The following is a 27,989-nucleotide window of genomic DNA, read 5'->3' on the forward strand; positions in this document are numbered from 1 at the left end:
TGGAAACCTGGATGGAACTCCTGCCCTTATGTGGATTTTTCAGTTCACACCCAATGGGCAGTGAACTATTTTTACATCCCTGAGAAGCTATTCTTTTGGGCATGTGTAAGAATAGTGAAAATAGAAGGCACATAGACCTCTCTTTCAGTCCTGGCAAAGTTGTGTTTAATTGCACAGGGCTGTATACCCTGGGGAGAAGGAAGAGTACACTCACTCTGGCTACGTAACTCCCTGGGAGATACTAAAGCCCAGTCCACATCACTGCTTTAAGACATGTTCAGAGAATCATATGGATTCTGACAACGAAATAATGTTATGCAACATGTTTTGGAAGGGGAACAATTTTGCACAACTTAATATTAAGTGTGAGTTATATTAAATCATATTGGGGGCGATTTGTTAACAAAACTCTTTTCAACTCTGGATTAAACTCTCCTTTATCCTCAGAAACACTTAAGCAAGAGCTTTGGTGACCTCTGTATCATAAAAAATGAAATGTTACACTTTCAGAGCCAAAATAGGGCTATTAGAGATTTTATATCTATTTTATGGCATGTTGATATGCTTATTTTCTGCTTCAGGCTTTAAAATTTCTTTCAGAATTCCTAGACTTCAGCTAAACCCAAATTGATGCATTCGGTAGATATCAATCTATCAATAAATTATTGATTGAGTTATTCTCTGTTGCATAGCACTTAGTAAAACTAGCTGCTATGTACAATCTACATTATAGCATGTTGTTAGTGCTGGCGTCATCAAAAGGCAAGTGACTGTTTAGAAAAGCCGTTACTTTCCAAGTCAGTTAGACATGCTATGTCTTCTCCAGAGAACAGTACATAGTATAGAGGCTCATGGAATATTAATATTAGCATACAATAAGTGGGAGTTTGATTTTGCAATCTCAGATTGACTATGCCAAAAAAGAATATGTAGAAGGCATATTAACAAATGAATAATCATTGGCCAAATATGCAAATTAAAAACATTAAACATCTGTAGCGTCCTTAATATAGGCCATGTCTAATAGCTCATTTTCCCTTCTTAAGCCAGAACTTTCTGCCCAAACCTTGAACAAATTAAACAGAAGCTTTGTTGTCAGTTATGAACCAGTCAGATGCAAAAGTCCATCTGCGCACTCGTTTCACGGTAACTGTCCTTTATTCTGCTATGTAATTGGTGTTTTGGTAGATTGATTATGGAAGTCTGGATAGACAAGCCACACTAAACTGCTCAAACCATACCTTTAAAAATATTTGTTCATGAGCCTCATCAGTTGACATAGATCTTTTATTAAATTATTGAATAGATTAAAGAACCTTTTCCTTGTCATGGAAAATCTGCGACAATATTTTCTCTTAGCTGTCTGAGATATTTGCACCACAACTCCCAAATGTGATGTTCATGCTTATGAGAGATAGAGCTGAAGAAATAGGATATTTCATAAATACCAGTTTTGATGTATTTGCTGTATAATCAATCAGCTTCTAACAGACTCTGGGGCCTATGGAATACATTTTAAAGGACTGGGAATTTGGCTATTCCCATAACATACTCGGACACTCTTTACTGCTAGCAATAAACCTCAGACATAAACATTGTAGAGAAAAAACAGATGAAAAGGAACCCATCTGAGTGAAAATTGACTTCCCTTCATAACTGTTAAAGGTAGAAAGCTATTTGCAATACACAATAACTTTATTACTAAGTTCATTCACAGTCATTATCATCAAAGGCTCTGACTTCATGGGTATTTTCTTATACCCATAACACTGGCTGAGCTATCGAAAAATAAAAAGTCAGGTTGATAGTCAATGAATGAACCACCACCAGCAGCAGCTCCATTATATTGCTTACTAACAAATAATTTGTTGGAAGTTGGTTTGTGTGATCTCTGTAGAAGCTTTTCCTATGCTGTATTGATCCAGATGGACCAGGCCAGGCAAGGCCACACCTATAAACAGTCCCCAAAATGGCCCACAACAACACAAGTTTATTTCTTGTATGTGCCAAGTGTTCATTATGCATTGGCTGTGAGTCAGCTACATGTGGTCATCACCCTTACTCCAGCATCCGGGGTGACAGAGCAGCCATTATCTGGAGGTTCACCTGTCACAATGGCAGGGGAAATGGAGAATGTGGCAAAGGTGGCTGTTCATGTCTCTACCTGGAAGGGTCACATCATACTGATCACATCTCATTGGCCAAAGCAAGTCACATTATCAAGCCATCAGGAAGTCAGGGACATATGTTCCTATGTGCCTCACATAGAGAGAGAAAAAGGACATGTTAGTGAACAGTAACATTATCGACCACAAACACTATGATGAAGGCAAGATTTTTAAATTGATAAAAATCCATGTCATTACTTTCTCCAACCCTAAGACAAACCTTACATGAAAAGGAACAGAAAAATCAGTCTTTCCTTTATTCACCATATTTATTGTGCACTAACATGAACCATGCGTAGGTGACTAGACCATAATCGAAGAACTCACAACACTTTAGGGCAAACTTGTCCAACCCACAGCCCATGGCCTGCATGTGGCCCAGGATGGCTTTGAATGCGGCCCAACACAAATTCGTAAACATCCTGAAAACATTATGAGATTTTTTTTTAGCTCATCAGCCATCTTTAGTGTTAGTATATCTTATGTGTGTCCCAAGACAATTCCTCTTCTTCCAAAAAACGGCCCAGGGAAGCCAAAAGATTGGACACCCCCACTTTAGAGGATGACAGGCAAAAATAATTATAATTTAAATCAGACCATGCTCTTGTAAAGATTGCCCTGCAAATGAACCAACTCTTCTATGGTCTTTTGAAAGAACTAACTTAAAAAAAAAAATTTAGAATCCTAGGAGAAATCTAAGTTCTTATTAGAGAGGGGGTATCTACATTGTCCTACAAAACCATCATCCTTTTTCGGTCAGGCTGATTTTCAGCATCGGATGCCAACGGAGCTTACCTGAACTTTGAGTTCAATCATCATTCAACCAGAGCAAAGGATCCCACCCCAAATCTGAAGGCAGTGTCTCAAAGGAGGATACAGAAGTTGTTGCCAAGAAATAGGAGAAAAGTGGCAATAAAGAAACAGAATGGGCCGGGCGCGGTGGCTCACGCCTGTAATCCCAGCACTTTGGGAGGCCGAGGCGGGCGGATCACGAGGTCAGGAGATCGAGACCATCCCGGCTAAAACGGTGAAACCCCGTCTCTACTAAAAATACAAAAAATTAGCCGGGCGTAGTGGCGGGCGCCTGTAGTCCCAGCTACTTGGGAGGCTGAGGCAGGAGAATGGCGTGAACCCGGGAGGCAGAGCTTGCAGTGAGCCGAGATCCCGCCACTGCACTCCAGCCTGGGCGACAGAGCGAGACTCCGTCTCAAAAAAAAAAAAAAAAAAGAATGAGCAAAAACCTTTTACTACTGGCATGTAGATGTCTTTCAGATCCAGACAATATGTATTTTAAATGAGGCTTTGATATTGCACATTGTGAGAGCTGCTCTTGTATGACTTCATGTCATGTTTGCTTAGGCAAAGCGATTTTTCTGCTTTTCTTTCTGGGCCAAACTGGCTGCAGCAAATCAAATTGTTCTCCCTTTCTGTCTCTTTCATACATCATCATTTAAAATCACCAAGAATTCACATTCTGGAACCTGCTGTTGTCTTCTTGTACAATATCAGTTAATTTCTGAACAGCCTTCATCGAAGGAGAACACTTTTTACAGGTTAATCAGGGAAATTGCACTGGCTGACAGCAACAGCAAACTTATCCATGTCAGTGATAGTCTCAGGAATGTGTGTGTCATTGGCTTCTGCGTGGAATTATTTGCAAAATTGTAGAGCTTTGATTCAGCTGGAAGAAAACTTAGAATACAAATTCATAAATTATTTATGCATGATGAGGCAGGAAACCAATGACTTTGTAAATTTTATTCTAAGGGATTTTGACCTCAGAAAACTCCCCAAAGCAGCCAGCATTCATTTCTGTGAAAAACACTCATCTCTGTACTTGAAAAAGCTAAGCATTTCCTTTGCTTGTTCTTTGCAGCTCCTTGAATGCTAGAACAAAAGGGTAAACACAAAGCGTCCAGAAGAGCTCTGAGAAGAAAACATAGAGGCAGCAAACTGCCCTAATTGATCTACTCACATAAAATCCAAAAACCCAGAGGCTATCTTTAGTGCAAGACATGTCTGCACAAAAATGTTTCCAGTTACTCAGGAAAATCAAATCTTCTTTATGCAAAATGTCTTCAAGGAACAAGAAGTATTTCATTAGGATTTTAATGGTGAGGGCTCAAGTGAAAGGATCCTCATGCTCTCTTTTGTCAAGTTTTTTTTGACAAAATGAATAAAATTAAAAGCTTTTTACAGTATAATCATTTTTTAAAGTTTCCTTTCTCCATGATTTTGGAGAATGAGAAGTAAAATCAATATTTAGGAATTTTTTTAAGAAGCTGACTTTCAATAACTTGGATCGTAGTATGACAAGGAAGGGTATAGTGTATGTGAGTGTGAGAGTGTGTGTGTGCATGTGTGTGCATGTGTGTGTGTTTCTTTTTTAATTACTCTCCACTCTTTGTGCCCAATAACAATAGGTGGACAACTCAGAGATTGTTACAATTATTTACCAAATTGTAGCCAAAGAATGCTATTTTTATATAAATGTTTGTGATTCATCACTACTTTTTAAAATTCAGGAACACTCAGTTGTTGTGAACAAAATGTGAGTAGCAGCTTCCAATAGCTCCTAATGGCACACATGAATTGGCACCGCTCTCGGCTTCATGGAAGAGTAGAGGGAAGAAGATAAGAGTATCCTTTCCAGAACAGGCCCCAAATCTTATGTATTTTTACTGATTTTTGTCTTATCTGTTTGCTCTATCAATTACTGAAAGAGAGATTTTCACTATGCGAGTAGACCTATTTTTCTTTGTTTTGCAGTAGCTCCCCTTTATCCATGGAGGCTATGTTCCAAGACCCCCAGTGCATGCCTGAAACCACCCATAGTACCAAACCCTATATATACTGTTTTTTTCCTATACATACATACCTATGATAAAGTTTCATTTATAAATTAGGCACAGGGAGAAATTAACAATAACTAATAATAAAATAGGACAGTTATAACACACTGTAATAAAAGTTATTGAATATCATCTCTCGTGCGTGCGCTCTCTAAATATCTTATTGTGTAATACTCACCCTTCTTGCAATTAAGAAGAGGCAGGGCAGGATAGCATGAGATTTCATCACACTACTCAGAATGGTGCACAGTGTAAAACTTGTGAATGGTTTGTTTCTAGAATTGTCCATTTAATATTTTTGAACTGCATTTGAAACCACAGAAAGCTGTGGTTTCAGTTACTCATGGTCAGCTGCAGTCTGAAAATATTAAATGGAAAATTCTAGAAACAAATGTTTATGGATGATGTATATATTTCACATCTATATTTATAGTTAAAACTTTTCTTGTGAATTGAGCTTTATCAGTATATATAGTGATTTCCTTTCTCTACTAACTGCTGCCTTAAAGTCTCTTTCTTTCCAATATTAATGTAGTTACACCAAATTTTTAAAAATATTTAACTGAAATATCTTTTTTCATTTTACTTTCAACATTTCTGAACCCTTATGTTTTAAATGTGTCTCTTATAAACATCACATAGCTAGATTTATTTTAAAATCCAGAATAACAATCTTTTTATTTCAATTGGAACACTTAGTTCACCTAAATGTACTAGAAATATTGATATTTATTTCTTCCATCTCATTTTGTGATTTCTATTTGTCTCATCTTTTTAGTCTTCTTTTTCTTCTTCTTTCTTGTGGGTCAATTGAGGATATTTTCTTACTTCACTCTTTTTCTTTTAGTGTTTGGAACCTAATACTGTAGTTTTTATTCTTCTAATAATTACCCTTGAAATTTTAACATGCATCCTAACTTATCAAAGTCCAAGTTTAATTAATACATCAATACCTTTCCCTCTTTTGTAACAATACAAGAGGACCTTAGAACACCTTAATTCTGATAATTCTCCTCCCAACTTATATGCTGTTATTATGGGATAATTTCGTTCTGTCTTATGTTGTGTGTGTTTTACACAAAACAAAAGTTAAGATTGTTATTACCATTTTATACTGGAACTTTTAATATACAATCAACCACATTTTACCACTTTCTTTGGTTATCATTCCTTTTGCGTAAAACCATCCATCAGAGTGACTTCCTTGGTCTGGAATACACATTATAAGTTTTCCTTTACTGAGAGTTTTATTTGAAAATGTCTTTTTGCCCTCATTCTTGAAAGACATTTGTGCTGAACTGTAATTCTAGGTCAACAGTTATTTTCTCCAGGTGCACTGATGCTTATATTTCACTATCTCCTGGTTTCCACTGCTGCTGTTGAGAAGTTTGCTATCAGTTCTCCCTTTTAAGTAATCTGTATTTTCTTTCAAGCTGCTTTTAGGGTCTCCTTTGTTGTTATATAATTTCGTCATAATGTGTAGGTATAGATTTCTTTTTTTATTAATTTTGCTTAGGATGTATTGGGCTTCCTGAATTTCATGATTGGTTTCTTTGATTGTTCTGGAAAATTCTAAGCCATTATGTCTTCAAATATTGCTTCACCGTCTTTCACTCTCTTTCTCTACTCATCCAATAACTGACTGGACATGTGAGACTGTCTCACTCCATCCTCCACATCTCTTAACCTTTCTTTCTTTCTTGCCACATTCAGAATAATGTATTTAGCTGGTAATAATGTATTTACTTCTCAGTTGATTTAGTCTCTCAGGTTTATTAAACAGCTAATTAAATTATTTTATTTGGCATTAAACCCAGCCACTTAGTTTTTAACGTCAATGATTTTATTTTTCTAGTACTTAATGAATTAATTTTCAGATATGCTTGGTCCTGTGTTCAATAGTATCCGCCTCCTCATCACATTTCTAAATTCTACCTTTTCCATTTTAAACATGTTATTTTTTACTTTGTGTCTGATATTCTAATATCTGAAGAGTTTGCTGGTCTCATCTGGTATTTCTGCAGTTTCTTACAAATGGTGCTTTATTTCCTTATAGATGTCATGTTTTCTTGGTTTCTGTTGTGGGTTTTTTTTGTGTGAGTTTATATTCCTTGGAAATTAATCAATGGAAAGTCTGGGTGGCCTGTGTTGAAAGGTATTTCTATTTCATCTTATCCTAAGGATTTTCCCTTGGGAACCCCGGCTGTATGTGGTGGGTTAGTGATACTGGCTCGTCACTTTAGGGAAGCCCTGTATTTTACTCTCCTGTCCTTGCCCACCCTGCAAATCTGAGGCCATCAAGGCTTAAGGTCATCTGGGTCTGAGGAATGTCCTTTGGACCAAATCCATTCTTAGTACTCTTGTTTTCTTTTCTGGGTCCCCATTTTCACTTAGTTTGGAGCCTTTGAAAGTTTGTTACTTTCTTGCCAACTTGTTGACTCCTACATGCTCTATTTCATGTTGCAGTGTTAGCTGATTTTAGGAAATGTGCAGGAAAATACACATGGAGGCATGTACAAGGTAACTTCCTTCACCAACTCTGAGTTAAGATTGTTTTTTAAACTTTTATTTTAGATTCAGGGGTACACATGCAGGTTTGTTATATAGGTAAATTGCATGTCACAAAGGTTTAGTGTACAGATTATTTCGCCAACCAGATAATAACCCTAGTAGCTAATAGGTAGTGTTTCTATCTTCGCCTTCCTCCATCTCGCCCCCATCAAGTAGACCCTGGTGTCTTTTGTTCCTCTCTTTTGTGTCCATGTGTTTTCGTCATTTACTGCCCACTTATAAGTGAGAACATGTAGTATTTGATTTTCTGTTCCTGTGTTAGGATAGGAACAGATAGTGGCCTCCAGTTCTATCCATGTAGCTGCAAAATACATGACCTCATTGTTTATGGCTGCGTAGTATTTCATGGTGTATATGTACCACATTTTCTTTATCCGTTCTACCACTGATGGACATGTAGGTTGATTCCATGCCTTTGCTATTATGAATTTTGCTGCGATGAACATACATGTACATGTGTCTTTGTGGTAGAATGATTTGTATTCCTTTGGGAACATACCTAGTAATGGGATTGCTGGGTCAAATGGTAATTCTGCTTTGAATTCTTTGAGAAATTGCCACGCTGCTTTTCATAATGGCTAAACTAATTTACACTCCCACCTGCAATGTATTAACATCCCCTTTTCTCCACAACCTCACCAGCATCATTTGACTTGGTGGCACGTCATACCATTTTAGAGCAGAGCATTGGAACGGTTATTTTTTGAGTTCTCTGTTTCTGATAAATATTCTAGGAAGCCCTATTTCATTGGGCCATGTGGTAGTTGGTACTATTGGTTAATATTGTTCCAGGTTCAGCCCTAAACTTCCAGTCCACAAAGGCAATAGCCCATCTCAGCAGCCCCAGAGCTCCCCAGGCCTGAGCCTATGGACCCTAGGCACCACATAGTTTCACTCCAATACCTAAGCTCTTGGTGCTGCAAACTTCTCCAGAACCCTTACTGTTGGGCTTCTTTCATGAACTATTTTCACTAAAAGATGTCACCTATATCCGTAAACACTGACCTTCAGAGAGGCAAACTCAGGTACATCCTTTATTTTTTCTCCTTGCTGGCACCTAGAAAGATTCTCCTTCGTACATTACTTACCAACTGATATGGTTTTGCTGTATCTCCACCCAAATTTCATCTGAATTGTAGCTCCCATAATTCCCACGTGTTGTGGGAGGGACCCGGTGAGAGATAATTGAATCATGGGGGCAGTTTCCCCCATACTGTTCACGAGACTGTGAGGAAGTCTCATGAGATCTGATGGTTTTATAAGAGGTTTCCCCTTTTGCTTGGCTCACATTCTCTCTTGTCTGCCACCATGTAAGACATGTCTTTCACCTTCCACCATGATTGTGAGGCCTCCCCAGTCACGTGGAACTGTGAGTCCATTAAGCCTCTTTTTCTTTATAAATTACCCAGTCTCAGGTATGTCTTAGCAGCAGTGTGAAAGCAGACGACTACACCTACCCAGGCCAATCAGGCAGAGAAGAGGTACCAGGACTAGACAAATCCCTGGAATGCCTGGGGCAGGGGGAGTCTTTACAGAATACCTTTCATGGGCAGTGTGTCTCGTACAACTACTTAATCAATTGCTATTGTGGAATATTATGCTCCAGACTGCGGTGATTACTGTTTTCAGCCCAGTTAAAATATCCCTTTTATGGAATTTGCTTTATAATAATAGCAATAGTAATAAAAAATAGATTTTTAATTTAATAAAAATAGAAATTAAAAAATAAGAAAACAAAAATAATATGTGCATTCTATTTTTCTTAAAAGAAAAGCACTTTTTAGATGGAGATACAAAATTGGCCATATTTGTGGCAGCCTCAGGTGCTAGGCTCCACAAAAGCAGCAGGGTTGGTCACACGGTGCGGTTCTGCTGTGGGTTGCAGAACCAGAGTGAACTAAACTCTGAAATTGGCAGTTTCTCCTTCAGACCACCCAGAAGTCTGCCCAGGCCAAAACTCTGGACCTGATGGGCTAGTGAAGCATCTAGTATATAGCAGCTAGATAGACTGGTCTGGCACACATGTGTATTTTGTTTCATTTATTTATTCATGCATTTATTCCCTGCCTCAGACAGACAGGGAGCAAGTGAAGGTAGAGAGAGAAAAGAACAGCCTCATAAAACCTGCATCCATGTGGTCCAAATGAGGATGACGGGATTGCGAAAGAAGCCGGCTCCACACAGTCTAGGGATGTGGCTCCCTTAACTTCCTCTTCTCATCCCTCCCAACCCCTGAGCGGAGCCTGCCCCAGCCCACCAGATGCACAGCCCCTTTTAATTTGCACATGGCACAGCATAAATGCCAAATTCAAAGCTTTGCAAGCACACAAGCCAAGTTCAAAATCCTGACTATGTGATTGTGTGCTAATTACCTAATCTCATCTCATTTTCGGATCTGTAAAATCTTATTTGTAATGATGATAGAAGCCAATGTGCATAAAGCTCCTAGCTCAGCCATTGTCTGTACTCAGCCTAGATATTCTTAACACCAGTGATAATAATAGCAATAACAATCATAGATTAAGCTTAGCTGTTATTCTTATTAATCATATTAATAAATACAAAGTCAAATGCCACATATTCTCACTTCTAAATGGGAGCTAAATAACGTGTGCATATGGACATAAAGTGTGGAGTAATAGGCACTGGAGGGAAAGGGTAGGAGGGTGGGAGGGTGCCAAGAGATGAGAATATAATGGGTGCAATACAATGTACAATATTCATGGCATAATTACACTGAAAACCCAGATTTCATCACTATGCAATGTATTCATGTAACAAGATTGCACTTGAACCCTTTAAACTTATACAAATAGAAAAATCTCAAGAACATTTAAGTACAAAGATTTAAATTATTCGATAGGATTTCAAGTAGATTTTTTAAAAGATTTTTCATTTATTCAGTGACTCTTCAACTCAAAGCCTGTAGGTAAACACCCTTGCCCCAGCCCTAGTCTTTACAGGAAGTGGCTGATATGGCTTCCTGCTGCAGCATTTAAGATGAGCTAAAGCTACTAAATAAAGCTTTTCTCGGCACATTTAGGACTAGTCGCTGAGGACTAGAAGAGAACTGCAAGCTAATGCTGGCTTCCGGCATTGTTGTCGAATAAAGTTAACACTGGAGCTTCTCTCCAAGTTACAGCCACATAGCAAGATGACAATGAAAAGTCCCAGGGTGAACATTTGGGAAGCTGATAAGAGATTCAAGTTACATGAAGGTATTTGGGAAGGATGCAGCTAAATGGTGGATGAAAATAACCTAGAGGAATGATGGCACACAGAGAGGCAGGGGACCCATGGCCTCTCCAGTGACTGATTTCTGAGAGCAGCGTACATGCCTGTGGCCTCAGGTCACCACCGAGGACCATCTATGAAAGCCTTAAAAAAAAAAAAAAAAAAACTCAAGCCAGACAAGGTAGAAATACTGGTAGAGGACATGAAAACCCCAAAATAGGTGATTGAATTGAATGTGAAGGTGAACAGCATTTGAAATAGCCTTTTTAAAAAAACTCCCTTGAAGGTGAACACAGGGACAAGTTACCAACTGTAATTTAACTGTAAAATGATCAGCGCTTCGAGAGTAGGTTTGACTATGGGGAATGACAGCCACAAGAAGAATCTTGCAGCTATTTTTATCTTCCCTCATCTTGACACCTCCCCTTTTAAAAGAATAAGAGAAACAGAGGCACAAAGTTAAGACTTACGGCACAAAGATAGCAGATAAGAGGCACAGAGATAAGGGACTGAGGAACCAGAACAAGACCTGGGTTTTTTGTTTTTTTTTTTAATTTCTGTTCTAGATTTATGTCCACCCATTGTCCTATCTCAGAAAATGCAGCATAGTTCCAGATTGAAGCAGAATCTGTGTGGCAGCCTATAGTCGTTCACCAAATACTAATAAGGATACGCCACGTTTGTGACATGCGTGAGGATAGACAAAGGGTTTTCACATCCCATATCTCATTTGTAAAACTTGAAACAACTGGAACCAGCAATTTGATGTTTCTCTTGAAGAGACTCCCAGGGCCGAATGTTCTGTTCCCAGGGGCCTAACGTTAGAATCCTCGTGGTGTCTGTGATGTTTCTATTGCCGTCAAAGGTCAAACAAGAGGTGAACAGACATTTTAGGGATTTACTGCTATTTTGTCTCTTCTTTGTCGTCCACAGTACTTTCATAAGTGCCTCTGTTTGGGGAAAAGAAAAGGGAAGGAAGGGAGGAGAGGAGGGAGGGAGGGAGAAAGGAGGAAGAGGAGAAGAGAAGAAAGAAGAAAGATATGTTCCTTTCTGACACCAGGACTATTTTTAGTGCCCAGAGCAACTTCAGAGAATTCTATGATGAAGCCTGGAGAAGAACGCGGCTCACTCATTTGTGCTCACTCCAAGGGGAGTAAAGAAAGGAACTTGGTGAAAGGCAGGGCAGAGGGCAGTCAGTCTGGACGCCAGTAACTACTGTGTGTTCCCAGAACGTTAAATCAACTATGCATCTGAGTTTGCTTTTCATTAAATCACTGTTATATTCTCAAAGACTGCTGATCATGGGAATTTGGGATTCAAGGTCCTCATTTTATAAGCGCTTCCTATATACTAATAGTATAATATCAAGTAAATTATTTTCGGTTGAACTGATGATTAGGAGTAAAAGCTATGGCTCTATTGATTTAAAACAATAAGAAGCTTTCAGCATAAGTTATTTAAAAGGCTCATGGGAATTGTAAAAAGCCCTTCCAGGATTACTGGCTTTTGGTTAAAATCCCTATTACATATTTTTGTCTTCTGGGTTCAAATAATTGCATTTTCTTGGATTGAGGTCAGCTCCTTCCCAACCCTTTTGATCCGTGTGACCCGAAGAGCTCTTTGGTTTACCATGTTTGGCTTTGAGCTGACTCACGCCAAGGCTAAAAGCAAGATAACTTGTTTGGGTAAGCAGAGCAAGACGACAATGAGACCAGAGCCTGATCCTTAGAAGCTCTGACCATGACCTCCTTCCCTCAAAGACGCTCCTTCGTGGTGGTCACATGGGGAAGCCAGTAAGATAGCATCCAGCCAGGCATGCAGATTGACATTACTACCAGGGACAAGCAATTCCAAACATTTCCAGAATTTGCTCTACATTCAGGGATGCTTAGAGTTGGAAGGGATGTTAACATCCATCTCCATGCCCTCACTTTACCAGTGAGAACACTAGAATCCAGAAAGATGAAATAACTAAAATCACTTTGACTGTATTTATTTATATTTTCTTCCACTAAGATCAGGTATTTTTGGTATGCTTGTGCACACACACACACACACACACACACACACACAGGCACATATATTCCAAAATAGAGAATTATCTTACCTTATTTATCTTCCCTCATCTTGACTCCTCTCCTTTTAAAATAATAGGAGAAACAGAGGCACAAAGTTAAGATTTATGGCACAAGGACAGCATATCAGAAGTGCAGAGATAAGGAGCCAGAACAAGACCTAGGTTTTTTATTTCTGGAACAGAAATAAAATTATTTCACAAAATTATAATCACAAAGAAAAAAAGTAGAATCAGACTCCTTGGATCCACTGTCCACTTTCACAAACAGGATGGATCCTCTTTTCTGACAGACTTTATTTTCTTAGAACAGTTTTAGTTTCACATCAAAAGTCTGCCCCCACGTAAATACAGCCTCCCCAACCATCACAAGATGTTCGGTTTGTTACCATCAATAAACCTACATTGACTATCCTTTTCATCCAAACTCATTTAAAATTCACTGTTAAGAGGAATTCTATGGCCTACATGTTGTCACTTTGCAGTGAAAACACAGAAAATGTGCTGGAAACTTTAGTGAGTCCTTTAACCTTTCCTCTTTTAGTTAAATGGCGGGAAGCAACACAGTGAGTGAAAGTAAAGGAGATTTCGAAGAGTCTTTCCAGCTTGCAAACACGGGCACTCTGTGAGTAAGGAAAATTAAGTCAGAGTAACTTGTTCCCTCCTCCTATGAGACAATCTATTATAGAAATGCAAGCGTGGGAAAAGGAGGGTCTACCTCCAGCTCCCCCACTGGTATTTTATCAACAATAACGTTCTCAAGGGACTTTTACAGCTAAATATTTTGGTAGTTTAGCGTCTATCAGCACCAACATGAGACAGCAAATATTCTCAGGATACTTTTGGGACTCCCATATTCCAAGGCATAGAAAGGGGAATTTGTTATCTTTTTCTCCACATGTATGATTTCATGCATAATTTTAAAAATAAGGGCCACTGCCTTCTGCTGGAGCCTGGCTGTTCACGTAGCTGTAACGGTTTTACTAGTTGTGTGTTTGTAAAAGTGCTTTTCCCCCTCTGTGTCAGCAAACTGCATGGCGGACGGGGCTTGGAGACTTGGAATTTCGTGGAGATGATTAATTACAGAGCATCTCATTGCAGATGTTTTTCTCTTCTCCCTTTTGTGGGCCTTTTGCGTCTCTTTCCCAGCTCTTCTCTTCTTCTCTATCCTCTGCACCCACCATGTCCCCCATCTCTACCTCACAGCTGTGGCTTCTCTCAGGAAATGCTAGGCCACAACACAGGAAAAATGGTGTTTTCATATCACGGTTCGTTTACTGCAGTCAGAGCAAAAAACGACAGCAAAACATTCTAAAAATGCCAAGCACTTGGAGGAATGTCTGCTCACGAAACTGACACTTTACTCTGACCCAGGTCCCCTTTTCAAGAGTTTCACTTTTACAGTAACACTGAGGTGGTCACATTGACTAAAAATATAGATTCAAAAGTGAGTGGGTCGGAGTATTTTTGTGAGAGGTTTTTCGTCTTTGTTTTTTCACTTTATTAACAGGAAGTGTGATACCCAGTAAAAAAAATCACTGCCCCTTATAAAATGGAATCTAAGTGCAAAGAGTTTCACCTAGTTTTCTCTTTCCTTAAACAGCTTCAGTGCCTCCTTTTCTTAGGGCAGGAGTTTAGCTGAGAGATTTTCTAGGAGAGGAAACAGGGCCACATTGCACACCTGGAGATGGTAAACCTGCCTTCTTCATCCAAGCATGCTTCCTCCCCCTTCCCCTCCGATTTTGTTGGGAGAAAAAATAGGAAAGGGTGATCTTTCCTGCTTCCTGGAGATCGCCTACAAAGCCAACAGTAGAGAAGGATCTGTGGCTGTTGTCTCAAAGGATTCCTCTGCACATTAGACCAGCATTCGGAATATGTGGGACTCGGATCATTTACATGAGAAACTTATTAAAATACTGATTCCCAAGGGCCAACCCAGGGCCACACTAAGTCAGCCAGTGGGGTACAGGGGACAGCAAATCTGTATTTTTAACAAGTTCGCCTGTGATCCTGATAGATACCACCTCACATGCTAAGTGGACTGCTACTGCTTTGAGAACCTACCTTTTCCATCTTTCCATGCCCGATGCCAATGTGTTCAATGCATGTTTCTTGGAAGAATGACTACTCTTAATTAGACATGTAAAATGACTTCGTGGCTCCTACATGGAAGGATTCACCCTAAAGTGAGGTTTCCAGTGGAGAGAGGGAAAAGCCACACGAAGACTTCCTGGGGATGCTGGAACAAAGCTTTGCTTTCTGGCTGTTCTGTCGCTGTCCTGTCGTTGGTCTCACTCATGGCAGCTGCCGTCTGACATCACTGCTCTGTGTTTGTCAGGAGCAGACGTGAAGAGAGACCCCATCCACAGCCAGCAGCATGGCCCTGCCTCCTGCAAGTCTTTCTAGGAAGCAATTGTATATAAATTATAAACAAACAAATAATATTTCTGAACCTTATGTTAGTCACTGCACTGAGTATTTCAGGGAAAGGAAAGGGGGCTCATTCCAGTCTGTTGCTCCACGTCCGCTGGGGAAGTGGGCAGCCTGCTGTGGGAGGAGATGCTGGCTGGGGAGCCCCTGCATCACTATGTGACCTTCGACAGGTCACTGCCCATCACCAAGCCTTCGTTTGCTCATCGTTAAAACCAGGGGTGAACTGCAGAGGCCCTGCAGTCCCTTTGAGCGACAGGACTGTAAGCTTCTGTGTGAGTGTGAAATGTGTTTGCTGTGACCCCTCTGAACATTGACCAATGGGTCCCCATCAACTCTGGAGCTCCTGAGGAAGAACCCCGGGGGGGGCTGAAATGGAGTTGGTGAGATACTTCCCACTGACACTGGAGTTCTCAGCTTTATTTCCCTTTTGAAAGAGCTGGTTAGTATCTTTTAGAGTAAGATTTGTATTTCTTTCTTGCCCAAAATGGAGCCAGAGAGGGACAAAATAAAGAAACTAAAATGTCCTCAAGAATATCCAAAAAGAACAGAAGTGCAGGAAAATGATGCTTAAAATTTAAGCTCCTGAAAACATTTGGCAAAACGCTGGGTTCTCCCTGCATGTTCAACGTTAGGAATTTTCACATGAGTTCACAGTGTTCCCAGGGCCCACCGCACCCTGGGCCCCTCACATCTTCCACCTCGAAGGATGTCGTTCCCAGCAGCAGATCTGTGCCTCGCAGTACCGTCTGCAGCTGCCATTTGCTTAGTCTGGGAGATGTCCAATTCCTCCCTCAGAAGAGAATCACGCTTTCATTTTCCCTTTGAGGTAGCATGTCCCAAATTACACAGCCAAGGTCTTCATCCCAGGGGGGAGGTTTATTCTCCACAGGATCTGCAGACAGTGAGAAAATGCATCTGATCTTGAAAACTGTGGTTGAACAATTGTGTAAATGTAATTGAAATTCATGTTTTTCCAGATGAAAATGGACCTCCATTCACAACATGGGATTGAATGGGTTTAGGAGATTCAGAAAATCTTGGGTTGTCTGATAATTTCCCAATATTGCTTTACTTCTCCTCCTCCTCTTCCTCCTCCTCCTTCCTCCTACTCCTCCTCCTCCTCTTCTCTTACCTTGGTCCTATTTGGGACAAAAAAAAAATCCCTGGGTCAGAAATTTTACCCTTTCCCATAAACATGACTTTTTGAACCTCCCAAGAGGCAGAAACGAAGCCAAATGTGATTACTCAGCCTCTAAAGTTTCATCATGTAGTGATTCATCAAAGGAGCTGAAGGTACTGCGCATTGCTGAACTTGAATATGCCTTCTGAGAGGCTCCTACCATGTTGCTTTCATGAAGAAATAGTGATCCTTGAAAGGGAATTTCACACTGGAACAGAGCAACTGTGCTGCCTGCTTTCTCTGTGTTCCCTCGATCAGGACTGATAACTCCCTGCATAAGTTTAATCCCACCTTTCCTCTTCTTCTCTCTCTCACATTAGCAATTCTTATGGAAACGATGCAACCCTTGCCTATGTTATGCCTGCCTAGTAATAATTTTTAGGATCATTTTCAAAGATCCTGGGGCCAGCAAAATTTTTACCGTTTAAAGTCTGTTTGGCCACTGGCCAAGTGACCTTGGGCGAGTCAGTTAATTTCTCTGAGCCTCTAACTCAGGAACTCTCAGTCTTGACTGTACATGAAAATTACCTGGGAAACATTAAATACTGATGCCTGGGCCTCGTATTTAGAGATGTTGATCTGTTTGGCTTGGGACTGACCCAGCATCTGTATTTGGAAAGCTTCCTAAAGCATGTCCTTGGGGTGCAGCCAAGGTTGCTAGCCACTTCCCCAAGTCCTTGTTTATCAAAATGTGATTCCTAAACTGGCAGCATCAGTATCACCTGTTAAAAAAATGAAGAATCACAGGTCCTACCCCAGGCCTGCAGCATCAGAACCTGCATTTCAACAAGATCCCAGGTGATTCGTAGGTACATCATGCTAAGAGAAGCACAGCTCAAATCCTTGTCTGTTAAAGGTGGATGATAATAGTCAATATGCAATGAGCTCTGTGCTCCATGTTTTTCCCTGTGTAATCTCAAAAAGGTACAGAGGAGAAACTGCATATTCACCTATATATCTCTTGAGACCTTAGCCTATTTCAAAAAGCTCTGGATACGAGATCTAGTGGGTTTGTTGGGTTGATTGCTGTCCTTTTATGTGGTTTTCTTAAGAGGCTGATTGTTACATTGATATAACCATATAAGACTGTTCTACGAGTTTAGTATCTTCCTCTGATCTCAGAAATTGGGCCTCCCTCCAAATATTTAATAAAAAAATTTGCCTCCTTTTTCTATCACATTTTAGATTGATTTGGAGGGTGCTACATCAACTCTAACTGGCAGATTTAAGAAACTGTATGCAGTGATTTTTAGGATGGGGACTAGTACAATAGGTAAACCAGAGTTGGGGTCAGCTAGTCAGACAAGTTTCTTTGCAGCAATCAGCAAACTATGACCTACGGGCCGAGCCACCTATTTTAATAAATAAAGCTTTATTGGAACACAGCCCTGCTCATTCATTTAGATATTGTCTAATGCTGTACTGACAGTACAATAGCAGCACTTAGTCATCTCGATAGAGACCCTATGGTCTGCAAAGCCTAAAATAATACTACCTATCCTTTCAGAGAGGAAGTTTGCCCGTCCCTGATTTACAGCAACCCCTAAATGAGGCCAGGGTTGAGTGATTGCTGACCATCTGGGCCCATATTTTTAGTTGGTTCCATAGCCCAGTGTACACCCCTAATCCCAAGCAGATTTTAAGCAGCTGTGTGGTTACATGGAGTCAGGCAGAGGGCCCAGAACTGATCTATCTGCATTGTAGCCACAAATAAGAACAAAGAGAGGTTCATCCTTGTCCACGGACAGCAGCATTTGTCTGTCAAGTTGTTGGAAGTATTGCTTGAGTGTCCACCTAAAATGGACCCTTCATAAATTCATGCATTTCCAAATAGTATGAGAAAGGATCCTAGTATGAAAATTCTGAGTTAAACCTGGGAATACAAAGATTTTTAGGCAAGATGGAAAGCAAGGATCACTACTTAGGAAAAGTAAAAGGTGAATTAATTTGGGTACCAGTCTTTTTCAAGCAAGAGATTTCTTCCTCAGGGAAAGTTTTAAGCATTGGAATATAGATATTAAGCCAATTTTGGATTATATCAAAGAGTTCGTCAACTAAAAACATGTGCTCTTCTCTCTCTTTTTTTCTTCTCGTCAATAAGCGATGGAGAAATCTAAAGTCATGTAAGATTTTATTTCTGTTCTCCATCTGAGTCTCAGTCATTGCAAACTATGAGGCAGTAATGCTTTGTGCAACAGGAATTAAAGAAGGGAGAGGTGGATAAGAGCAGGCTGGAAGAATCTCCCCGAACAGGTTCTAGAAACTGGACATTCCTTTGACTATTACCCGATATTCAAAAATTTAATTTTTTCTTTTATAATTCTTTTGGGCCCCTTTTCTCATCCTTTTTTGGCTTTGGTTTCTTCCAATAAGTGCTTATGAGGCCAAGAAGTTGGTCACTGGGGGCTTTAACAAGGCCCATGGATGGCAGCTGGATTCAGCTGAACTGTAGTAATTAGCCATCACCTAATCTTATTCAAATGGTGCTCCTAGATCTGCAATGTGATAAATTGTGAAAGTTCCAAGTAGGGGGAATAAAAGAACAAAAGAAAGATACTAGCAGTCTTGGGTCTGACGGATTGCTCAAATTATATTCTTGCTGTTCCATTTTGCAAGTTTTTATCAAAATGGAAAATGCGAAGTCTTTGCCTAATGTCTCTGTACATAGTTTTTGTTGCCAGTTTATTCTCTCTGGTGTGGGGCTGGCTCAGCCGTTGGTCTCTGGCATGGAGATACCAAAATGCAGCTAATCTGCCTTCTGAGTAGAGCTCAAAACATGTGATTTAAAATCTTATGATAGTTTCATAGAAATAATAATGCCGTTGTGTCGAATTGTTGCAAGAAATAGATTATTTTCGAAAAGGTTTTTGTTTCCTGTAATGTTCTGGAATTTTTTATAAACAAAATCAGTTTGGTGGTTTTCACTGAATTGACCAGTAATGAGTTTTGCTATGAGCGAATTTGATGTCAGGAGATTGCAAGAGAAGTAACAGATGTGAGGATCTCTGTTTACAAGAAAGACACTTTTCTCTTTGGCCACTGCCTGTGAGTTATGAGAGAGGTTAACATTTTCTTTTCTCTGTATGTTTACATGAAGTTTCTGGAAATCATTGCGAGGATTCTGTACATGACAGGATTTTCCCAGGGGCGATAGATGAGGGATTTAGAGATGAAATTGGTCTGTGCATCAGGGATGGGAAAGGATTCCAGGGTCTTCATCTGCTTTATGAATTAATATCGGTATACATTACCCTCTTAATATAGTGCTGAGCCAGGAAGTCTTGTGAGCCACCTAAGTTAGCTGTGAAATACTCAGGGCGTCCCTTAATTTTTTACTATAAATTTCTTCCACTTCATTTCTAACTTTGAAGTTTTAGGTAAAGATAGTTTCTCAACTCATATTTTGCCCTTTTCCAGATTATGCATTAGATGCAGTCATGGCCATAAATCTCACTAATGGCCAGTGCTGTACGGCATCTTATGGTCAGCATCTGAGTGTGCAGGCTCTCTGTGCTAATCCTGGGATTCCAGTAAGTCATAAAAACAGCGGCTTAAGAAAGTTTGCATTTTTCCCCTCTTGTCAAACTAAGATAAACCCAATTTTAGAAGAGGTACAGTTCCTATCCCTTCCTGGTGAATCCTAAAAGGAAATCAATACATCAATGCATTGTCCTTTAGTTGCACTTTGTACATTTTCCTGAGAACTTATGGCCAAATTAGTAAATGAAATGTGTAAGACATTGGGCAGTTTTGCAATGCACTTCAAGTCATCTGTCTTAATCCCTGCAATAACCCTAAGAGTAGGGCATTCTCTGTCTTGCTAGTCAGGAAACTGAGGTCCATGGAAGCTAAGTATGTTTCCCTGGGATTGCACAACTAAGTAGCAGAGGTAGGATTCAAGTTCGGATCCTCTGACTCCAATTACCATTCCCTTTCCACTGCAACAGGCTGCTCATGTGTAGGGGAGCATGCAATGAAGATAGCCAGTGAAGCTGAGTCCAAATGCATGATGGAGAAGCCTGTGCAACTATTAGGATGGAGAAACTATTAAGATGGTGGGAAAGGAGAATGGGTGTACAGAGAGCAGAGAAGGAGAGAGAAAGGTCATTTTAAAAAAATGAAATGACAACTTTGAGTCAAGCCCCTTATAGAAGAGCTCACCCTCTTTCTGTTTTCTGATGCTCCCCACATTGCCTTTATCAAGATTTGGAAAGATATATTGAAACTTGGAAGGTATAGGGTATCTTCTGTAGTTCCCTCTATATTGTTTTATTACCTAGAAAGAGCCAGAGGGTGAATATGTTAGACTTTGCAACCCAGTGGTCTCTGTCACAGCCATTCAACTCTGACATTTTTATCTTGAACGCAGCCATGGACAATGCATAAACACATGAGCATGGCTGTGCTTCACTAACGTTTATTTACAAAGCAGCAGCCAGCTGGAGACCACTGTTTGCTGGCTCCTGCCTTAAAACAGTGACTTCCAACCTCAGCTGTACATTACAACCACCTGGGGAACAGCAGAAAATACCAGTGCCCCCTGATTCTTCTCTACAATAACCAAATCTTTCTAAAGTAGAGTGCAGGTATCAATATAGATGTTTAAAGCATGCCATGAAATTCTAGTGTAAAAGTAAGATGGAGGACCACTGTCCTAGATTCTGAAACAGTGGCCTTCTCATTATGGTTCCTGGGACAACAGCATCAGCATTCCCTGGCAACTTGTTAGACATCGAGTTCTCAAGCCCCATTCCAGACCTACGGAAACTGAAACTCCAAGTGGGGCCCCAAAATTGTGTTAACAAGCCCTCCAGGTGGTGCCAAAGCACAACCCAGTTTGAGAAGCACAAGTCTGGGACCTAGAAAATAAGGATTCAGCCCCAGAGCCCTTGCTTGAGTGTCTTCCTGAGCACATCAGGCGTAATGTTCTAGAGCCAGCCCTGGACCTTCCATCGGAAATCCAGCTTTAAGCTCTGCCCTTTACTTCCCCTCCCTAAGCCCCAGAGTCTTCATCTATAAAAAGAGTAATATTAATAGTTATACCTAATTTATAGCTAATTGATGGTGATTGGGTGATTAAAGGTATGTGAAGGCAGTCAAACTATTAGACACCATGCAAATGCAACTATTTATTGTGATTGTAACTAACCCTTCAGAGGTAGAAGTACATGCAGTTATTACTCATGGGCTTGGTCCATGACTCTCAGTCCAGGAGTGTGCTGCGGCCCAAAGGGTTACTACTAAGCATAATCTAGAAAGTACTTAAGAGTGAGTTGTCTTATCCTTACCAAAACCATGGTGGTTCTGGCCCTCTGGAGGGCAACAACGCTATAAAGGGAAGAAAACAGGATCAGAAAGAAGTCCCTATGGAGATAAGGTGATAGAGAGGATACTACCATATGAAAGCAGGAAAAAGCCTTTCAAATTAAGGTGGATAGGATATGCTGAATGTCCACAAACCCTTATAGGAAGTAGACAAAGTAAACCATGTATCCTCCTGGGATCTTTTTCCAGGAGTCTCCGAGCCACACTGGGTGGTACACCTTGATATATAATCCTTGCCAAGAAGTAGTATCAGGTACAATCACAAACATATTCAAAAAGGTCCAGAGACCTTTACGAATAACACACATAATTTGTTCCTTAGACAATCTGGGACACTTCAGAGGCAAATTTACAGTCTTTTAGGTTTGACATCTAGTAGGATAAATAGTTGCCATAAAATGTCCCTTAAACACTGTTTTAGAATGAATATACAATCCTGAAAGAATCAGGATCTAACAAACAGTGGGTTGATTCTTGAGTTCTTGTGAGAAGAAAACCAAGACACTTTGCAAGCTATCTGTTGTTTTATATGTGTGTGGATTTGAACTGCATGTTTCTGAAATAATAAAGACCTTTTGGGAATCAACTATCTTATAGAGACTCCAGAGTTATTATCTGAACTTTAGGGAGAACATCCATGCCAAAATCAGCACCATCTGTTAAATTCCCTCATCGTTCTCTTCCTGTCTTACTGAAAGACCCTGCTCTCTTCACTGTTGTTGTGATTTTTTTTTTTTTTTTTCCTTCTTGTTTGGTCATCTGCAGCATAAAGGGTGTAGAGAGGAGAGTCAGAGAGAAGTGTGTCAATCTTTACTTGGACAGAAGCCCAGGAAGTATTAGTTAGACATTTTCTTATGTAGATTGGAGAGTCATTTTTGTGAGTAAAATGCCCTGCAAAGCATTTTGCTGGTAGATGCTCGGAAAATGTTGAGGCAGGTTAAAATGAGCCATGACACACCCGAGCCGCAGGTGTAGCATTTAGAGTCCAGTGAGGGGGGATTACCTCCTGTTCTCCTGCTAGCTTTGCTGAAATTGTTTAATCCCAAAGGATAAATCCAGGCTGCTTTTCTCAGGGCCATATAACTGCCTTAGTACATAGAGCTGTTGAAATATGAACCAAGCAGGGTGTGAACTAGCTCAAAATATGCTGATTTCCAGATGTTCTTTGATTCTGTCAAACACTGATTGCCCCCAAAGACCATCCTGAGTTGTGGCTGCCAGTGATTCCTCATGTTTCTTTCCATGATCAAGGCAATAATTTTAAAGCCCCGTAGTCTTTCTTATGAGCCTGTGTCTGGGTCTTGTCTAGGTCATATTTTACTTCTCAGTATGAAAATGCAGAGTCTCACTGGATTGCGCTGTAAAATATCTGCACGTCGGTAGCGGTTTTTTAATTTGTTGCTCTTCCCAGGATGGAGAACCTTTCTGAATTATGAACGAAGGGTTGGTGCTCAATATAGTGACCTTCCGTGAAAGAGAGGTTGTGGAATATCTGCTTTCTCTGCAACAACAACAACAACAACAAAAGAAAGGAAAAAACAAGGAAAGTAAATGTGAGCATGTTTTAGGGAAAGTAATCAAAATCCAAAATCATTGAATTTATGTTTACAGAAGGAAAAAAAAATCATTTGCGAAGCAGACTTATCACTCACACTATTATTGCATTCCAAAACTTCATTCTCTTAAGAATTAAAAAAATAAATAAATCCAGAGTGTGAATATATTGGGGATCAAAAATGCTAATGCTTCTAGGAGGTTCTTTTGAATTTGTTTTATGATATCTCAGTAAAATAAAGGCTTATAGAAACCCTTCTAACTGGTGGGTTAAATGTCTACCACTAGAAAGGAGATACCACAAGGAGGAAAGAATTTTTACACCTCCTTCTACTTTCACCCTGTTCAGAGACAAATCTGTGGCCACCAGCCTCAGCATCCCCTGAGCCTTTGAACCAACACATTTGCCCTCATTTCTTATGAGGAGAAATGATACAGAACTCTTTGGAGAGAACTCTTCAGAAGACCTGGATCTGGGTTCACATGGGGGCTTTGACTCATTGGCAGGGATTTTCATGTATTGAAGCCTTGATATTCTCATCTGTAGGATGCAGTAAATAGCGCCTGATGAGGAAAGGGCCATCGTCAAATAAAAATATAAATTTTATTTCATCTAAATTCACAACCTGGTTAGGGGTGAGGGCAGAGTCAGGACTTGGAGCTGCCAGGGCTAGTAACATAGATAGTACATTTAATTCATGATATACATTTTTTTTCTTTTTTTTTTCCTTTTTTGAGGTGGAGTCTCCCTCTTTCACCCAGGCTGGAGTGCAGTGGCGCAATCTCAGCTCACCACAACCTCCACCTCCTGGGTTCAAGCGATTCTCCTGCCTCAGCCTCCCAAGTAGCTGGGATTACAGGTGTGCACCACCACATCTGGCTAATTTTTGTATTTTAGGCAGAGACAGTGTTTCATCATGTTGGCCAGGCTGGTCTTGATCTCCCGACCTCAAGTGATCTACCTGTCTTGGCCTCCCAAAGTGCTGGGATTACAGGCGTAATTCATGATATACTTAAAAAGGTAGTTAGCTGTGTTTTTCAAAGTAATCAGATCTACATTTAAATAATAATATCCAACGGGAGAAGACACAGAAAGCCCTCAGAACTGGGCCTAGTACACAGTGAGGCACCTGTGAACATTCACACCCATTTTCCCTCCTCTTCACGCCTGTGCCATCTGCCAAGTCCTCCATCTCATGAAACACCTGAGGCATTCCATGACCTTCGAGGGCACACGCTAAGTTTGGACAAAGGCAATTCGCACACGTTAAGAAGACTTTCTGCCCTAGTGATTGCTGCTGCATCCTTTCACTTGTCTCTGCATTGCAGTGGATTTCTTTCCGTGAGCATTGTGATTGAGGTTCTTCCTTAGCAACAATCGTTTTAAAAAATAGAAATCACACTTAGATGGTAAATTCTCTCTTTTGGGTCACAGATGTGGGAGATAATCACAGCCTCTTCCAGGGATTACTAATTAGTCAATTCCTAGTAATCTCCAGGGATTACTAATTACCAGAGATTCCTAATCTGCTTCTGGGTGTGGCTGACACCAGAAAGTTTGGGGGAACCCACAAGCAGCACCCAATGCAAATGGGGACAGAGAACCCACTGCTTCAGGAGCAGAGATGACCAATCCTGCTTGCCAGCACCATCTCTGCAGAGAGCAGAAACTCCTGGCTCCCTCTGCTTGCCTCCCTCTACCCCAAGTGACATCCTTGAGTTCACGCCACTCCTGCAGAGAGTTACTGCATCTACCAGATTCAATAATTACACCATATTTGGTCCTGAGGTTTTCTGACCAGCCATGGTCCATTTTTCCCAAGTGCTCCATCATGACAGCAATCTATTGAGGGCAAGTGTGCTCTGAGAAAACTGTACTGGTGATGGCCAGCCTCTACTGAGACCTAACCATCTGCCATGAATGAATATATTCATTCATTTAATCCAGATAAAAATCCTGAATTTTACAGTTGAGGAAATGGAGTCCGAGTGGCCAGAAGAAATTTCATGAATTTTAGAAGTCTGTAGTAAACCCATGTAAAATGCCTCGAGGAGAGCCCAGGCAGGAACTGGTTTCTCTGTCACATACATGAGGCTGAATTAGGGACTGAGTCATGGTGGGAGATGGCTGATGTTTTGGAAATGGCCCTAATATCGAGCTGGTCAGCTTTCTATCTTGCCATTGCCCATAGCTGGAGAAGGGAGTGAGGCCATGATCTCTGTCTGGAATGAGGCATTGTGCTCTAGCCATTGACCTAGCTGGGTAAACCCTGAATCAGTTAGTTAAAGGCTATTACCAAGGGTTCAGTGTGAAGGAGTGTTATTTTAGGAGTTTTCCTTTTTTTTTTTTAAGAGACGGGGTCTTGCTCTGTCATCCAGGCTAGAGTGAAGTGGCGCAAACACAGCTCCGTGCAGCCTCAACCTCCTGGGCTCAAGCAGTCCTCCGGCCTCAGCCCCACAAGTAGCTAAGACTACTGGTATGTGCCACCACACCCAACTAATTTTTATATTTTTATAGAGACAAGAGTTTTGCCATGTTGTCCAGGGTGGTCTTGAACTCCTGAGCTCAGCAACTTGCCTGCCTCCGCCTCCCAAAGTGCTGGGATTACAGGCGTGAGCCATCGCACCCGGCCTATTTTAGGAGTTTTCTTTCCTAATCACTCCCTTCCTAACACCCGCTGTCATTCATAAGTTACGCGATGTAACTTATCTCTTTGACTGCTCACTCGGGGCCTGTGATAGTCAGGGATACAGCCTCAGGAAATTTACTGCTAAAGAGAAAATAAGTTGAATGTGAATATTTTGCAACTTAGGGTCACTGTTATGTTAGAACTCTGAGAACAGGAATGCATGAAAAGATCAAGGGTGGAAGGGGGATGATCTTTGTAGGTCAAAGTAGTAAAATAAAAGTGAGCTGAAATGGAGTGAGATGTAGTCCTTTGGCTCTAAATTTTCTAAGAGGAATGATCTATGGAAACTAAAATCTGCACAATTTTTAAGTCTGCAACCTGCATACTTTCCTTTTTTTTTTTTTTTTTTTTTTTTTTTTTGAGACAGAGTTTTGCTCTTGTTGCCCAGGCTGGAGTGCAATGGCACGATCTGGGCTTGCCTCAACCTCCAACTTCCGGGTTCAAGCAATTCTCCTGCTTCAGCCTCCCCAGTAGCTGGGATTACAGGCATGCACCACCACACCCAGCTAATTTTGTATTTTTAGTAGAGACACTGTTTCTCTGTGTTGGTCAGTCTGGTCTCAAACTCCCGATCTCAGGTGATCCACCCGCCTCACCCTCCCAAAGTGCTGGGATTACAGGCTTGAGCCAGCGCACCAGCCTAATTTCTAAGTTTGCTTAAAGATATAAATCATGAGAAAATTCTCATTTCTCCATAAGGTGGTATCCACTCAGTTGCTTATAGGTATCAAAAAGGTAAAGAATGGTTAAACGGCAACTGGGAGAAACTTAAAACTCCTGGTAATAGCAGGACTGGGATTTGGGGGAAATCATTTTAATTGTGGAGTAGTCATGCATTACTGGAAAATAATCCATCACTAACTGTGGATGTTGCTTGTTACCTATGTAACTCCTCTGAAGAACATTCCCAAAAATTTAGAAAAAAAAAATCTACCAATTATCAAGAATTAGAAATTAAAAAATAAAAAACCCAAAGGAAAGCCATGGAGCTACATTAAAATCATTCCATTCCCACAGCTCTGTTTGTGCAAATTAAAAGACCAAAATTCTGGAGGCATCACACAATTATTTGGCCTTGGGGAGATCCTTCTTCTTTAAAGGCTATAAAATTACATTCATCCTGAACACCTCCAAAGGCATGTATATATTGTGATAGATACATGTGTATACATGATGTGTAACTATAGAGGTCACTATGTATATAAAGCCAAAGAAGGGTTCTACGTAAATAAGACTTTAAATAGTGTCATGGTACTTAAATGGAACCACTGTATAAGATTCTTAAGTTTCAATTACAAATATTAACAGTATTAACAGTTTCATAAATGGAGACAAAGAACACTCGTTTCTTTTCGTTTACAATGAAAAATGAGAAAAGGATTATCCAGTGTGCAAATATTTGCTGCACGGGAATATTTAATACATTTCTGTATAAAAGGTTTTAATATGCGCCCCTTGCTAACATTACCAAATCATATTAAAAGTATTTAGTACTTCAAATAGTCTTTAGTATCTCTGGCCTCATTACTGAGAAACATCTGGAAGGCAATAGGAAAGAAAGGTAACACTGGCATTATCTTCTATTGTTACCTCTTGCTTCTTAGGTATTAATTTGTAAAATGAGGGGAAAATCCTTTCCAAATGCACAGGTTATCATTATTGAACGACAAGATAAAATAATAGCTAATAGCTAATATTTGTTGAGTATTGACTTCCTTCTAGGCACTTCTATACTAACAGGTTCTGTAATTAACTTCATTGGGCAGATGAAAAAATCCTATTTGAAATCTCCTTCTCAACTCAGGCTAGTAGTAGTTTCCTTTTGCCTCTTAGCTTGTTCCCTAATGATGCAGTAAATATCATGTTAAAGATTGTTACTATAGGCTGGGTGCAGTAGGTCACGCTTAT

The 27,989-nt window shown here is 40.3% G+C and overlaps 1 protein-coding gene across 4 annotated transcripts in view, besides 1 other annotated feature; it reads left to right on the forward strand.

Annotated features, from left to right (window-relative positions):
- Window positions 1-27,989, forward strand: part of GPC6 (glypican 6) — a 1,191,492-nt gene that overhangs the window by 1,096,811 nt on the left and 66,692 nt on the right. The gene's annotated exons all lie outside the window — the stretch shown is intronic.
- Window positions 14,015-14,124: an enhancer, noted in NCBI's record as "active region_7864". NCBI's record gives its function as "activates an Ori minimal core promoter by ATAC-STARR-seq in GM12878 lymphoblastoid cells {active_cell/tissue: GM12878}" and the evidence as "EXISTENCE:reporter gene assay evidence [ECO:0000049][PMID:35858748]".

Source organism: Homo sapiens, chromosome 13 (assembly GCF_000001405.40).
Source record: "Homo sapiens chromosome 13, GRCh38.p14 Primary Assembly".
Lineage (NCBI taxonomy): Eukaryota > Metazoa > Chordata > Mammalia > Primates > Hominidae > Homo > Homo sapiens.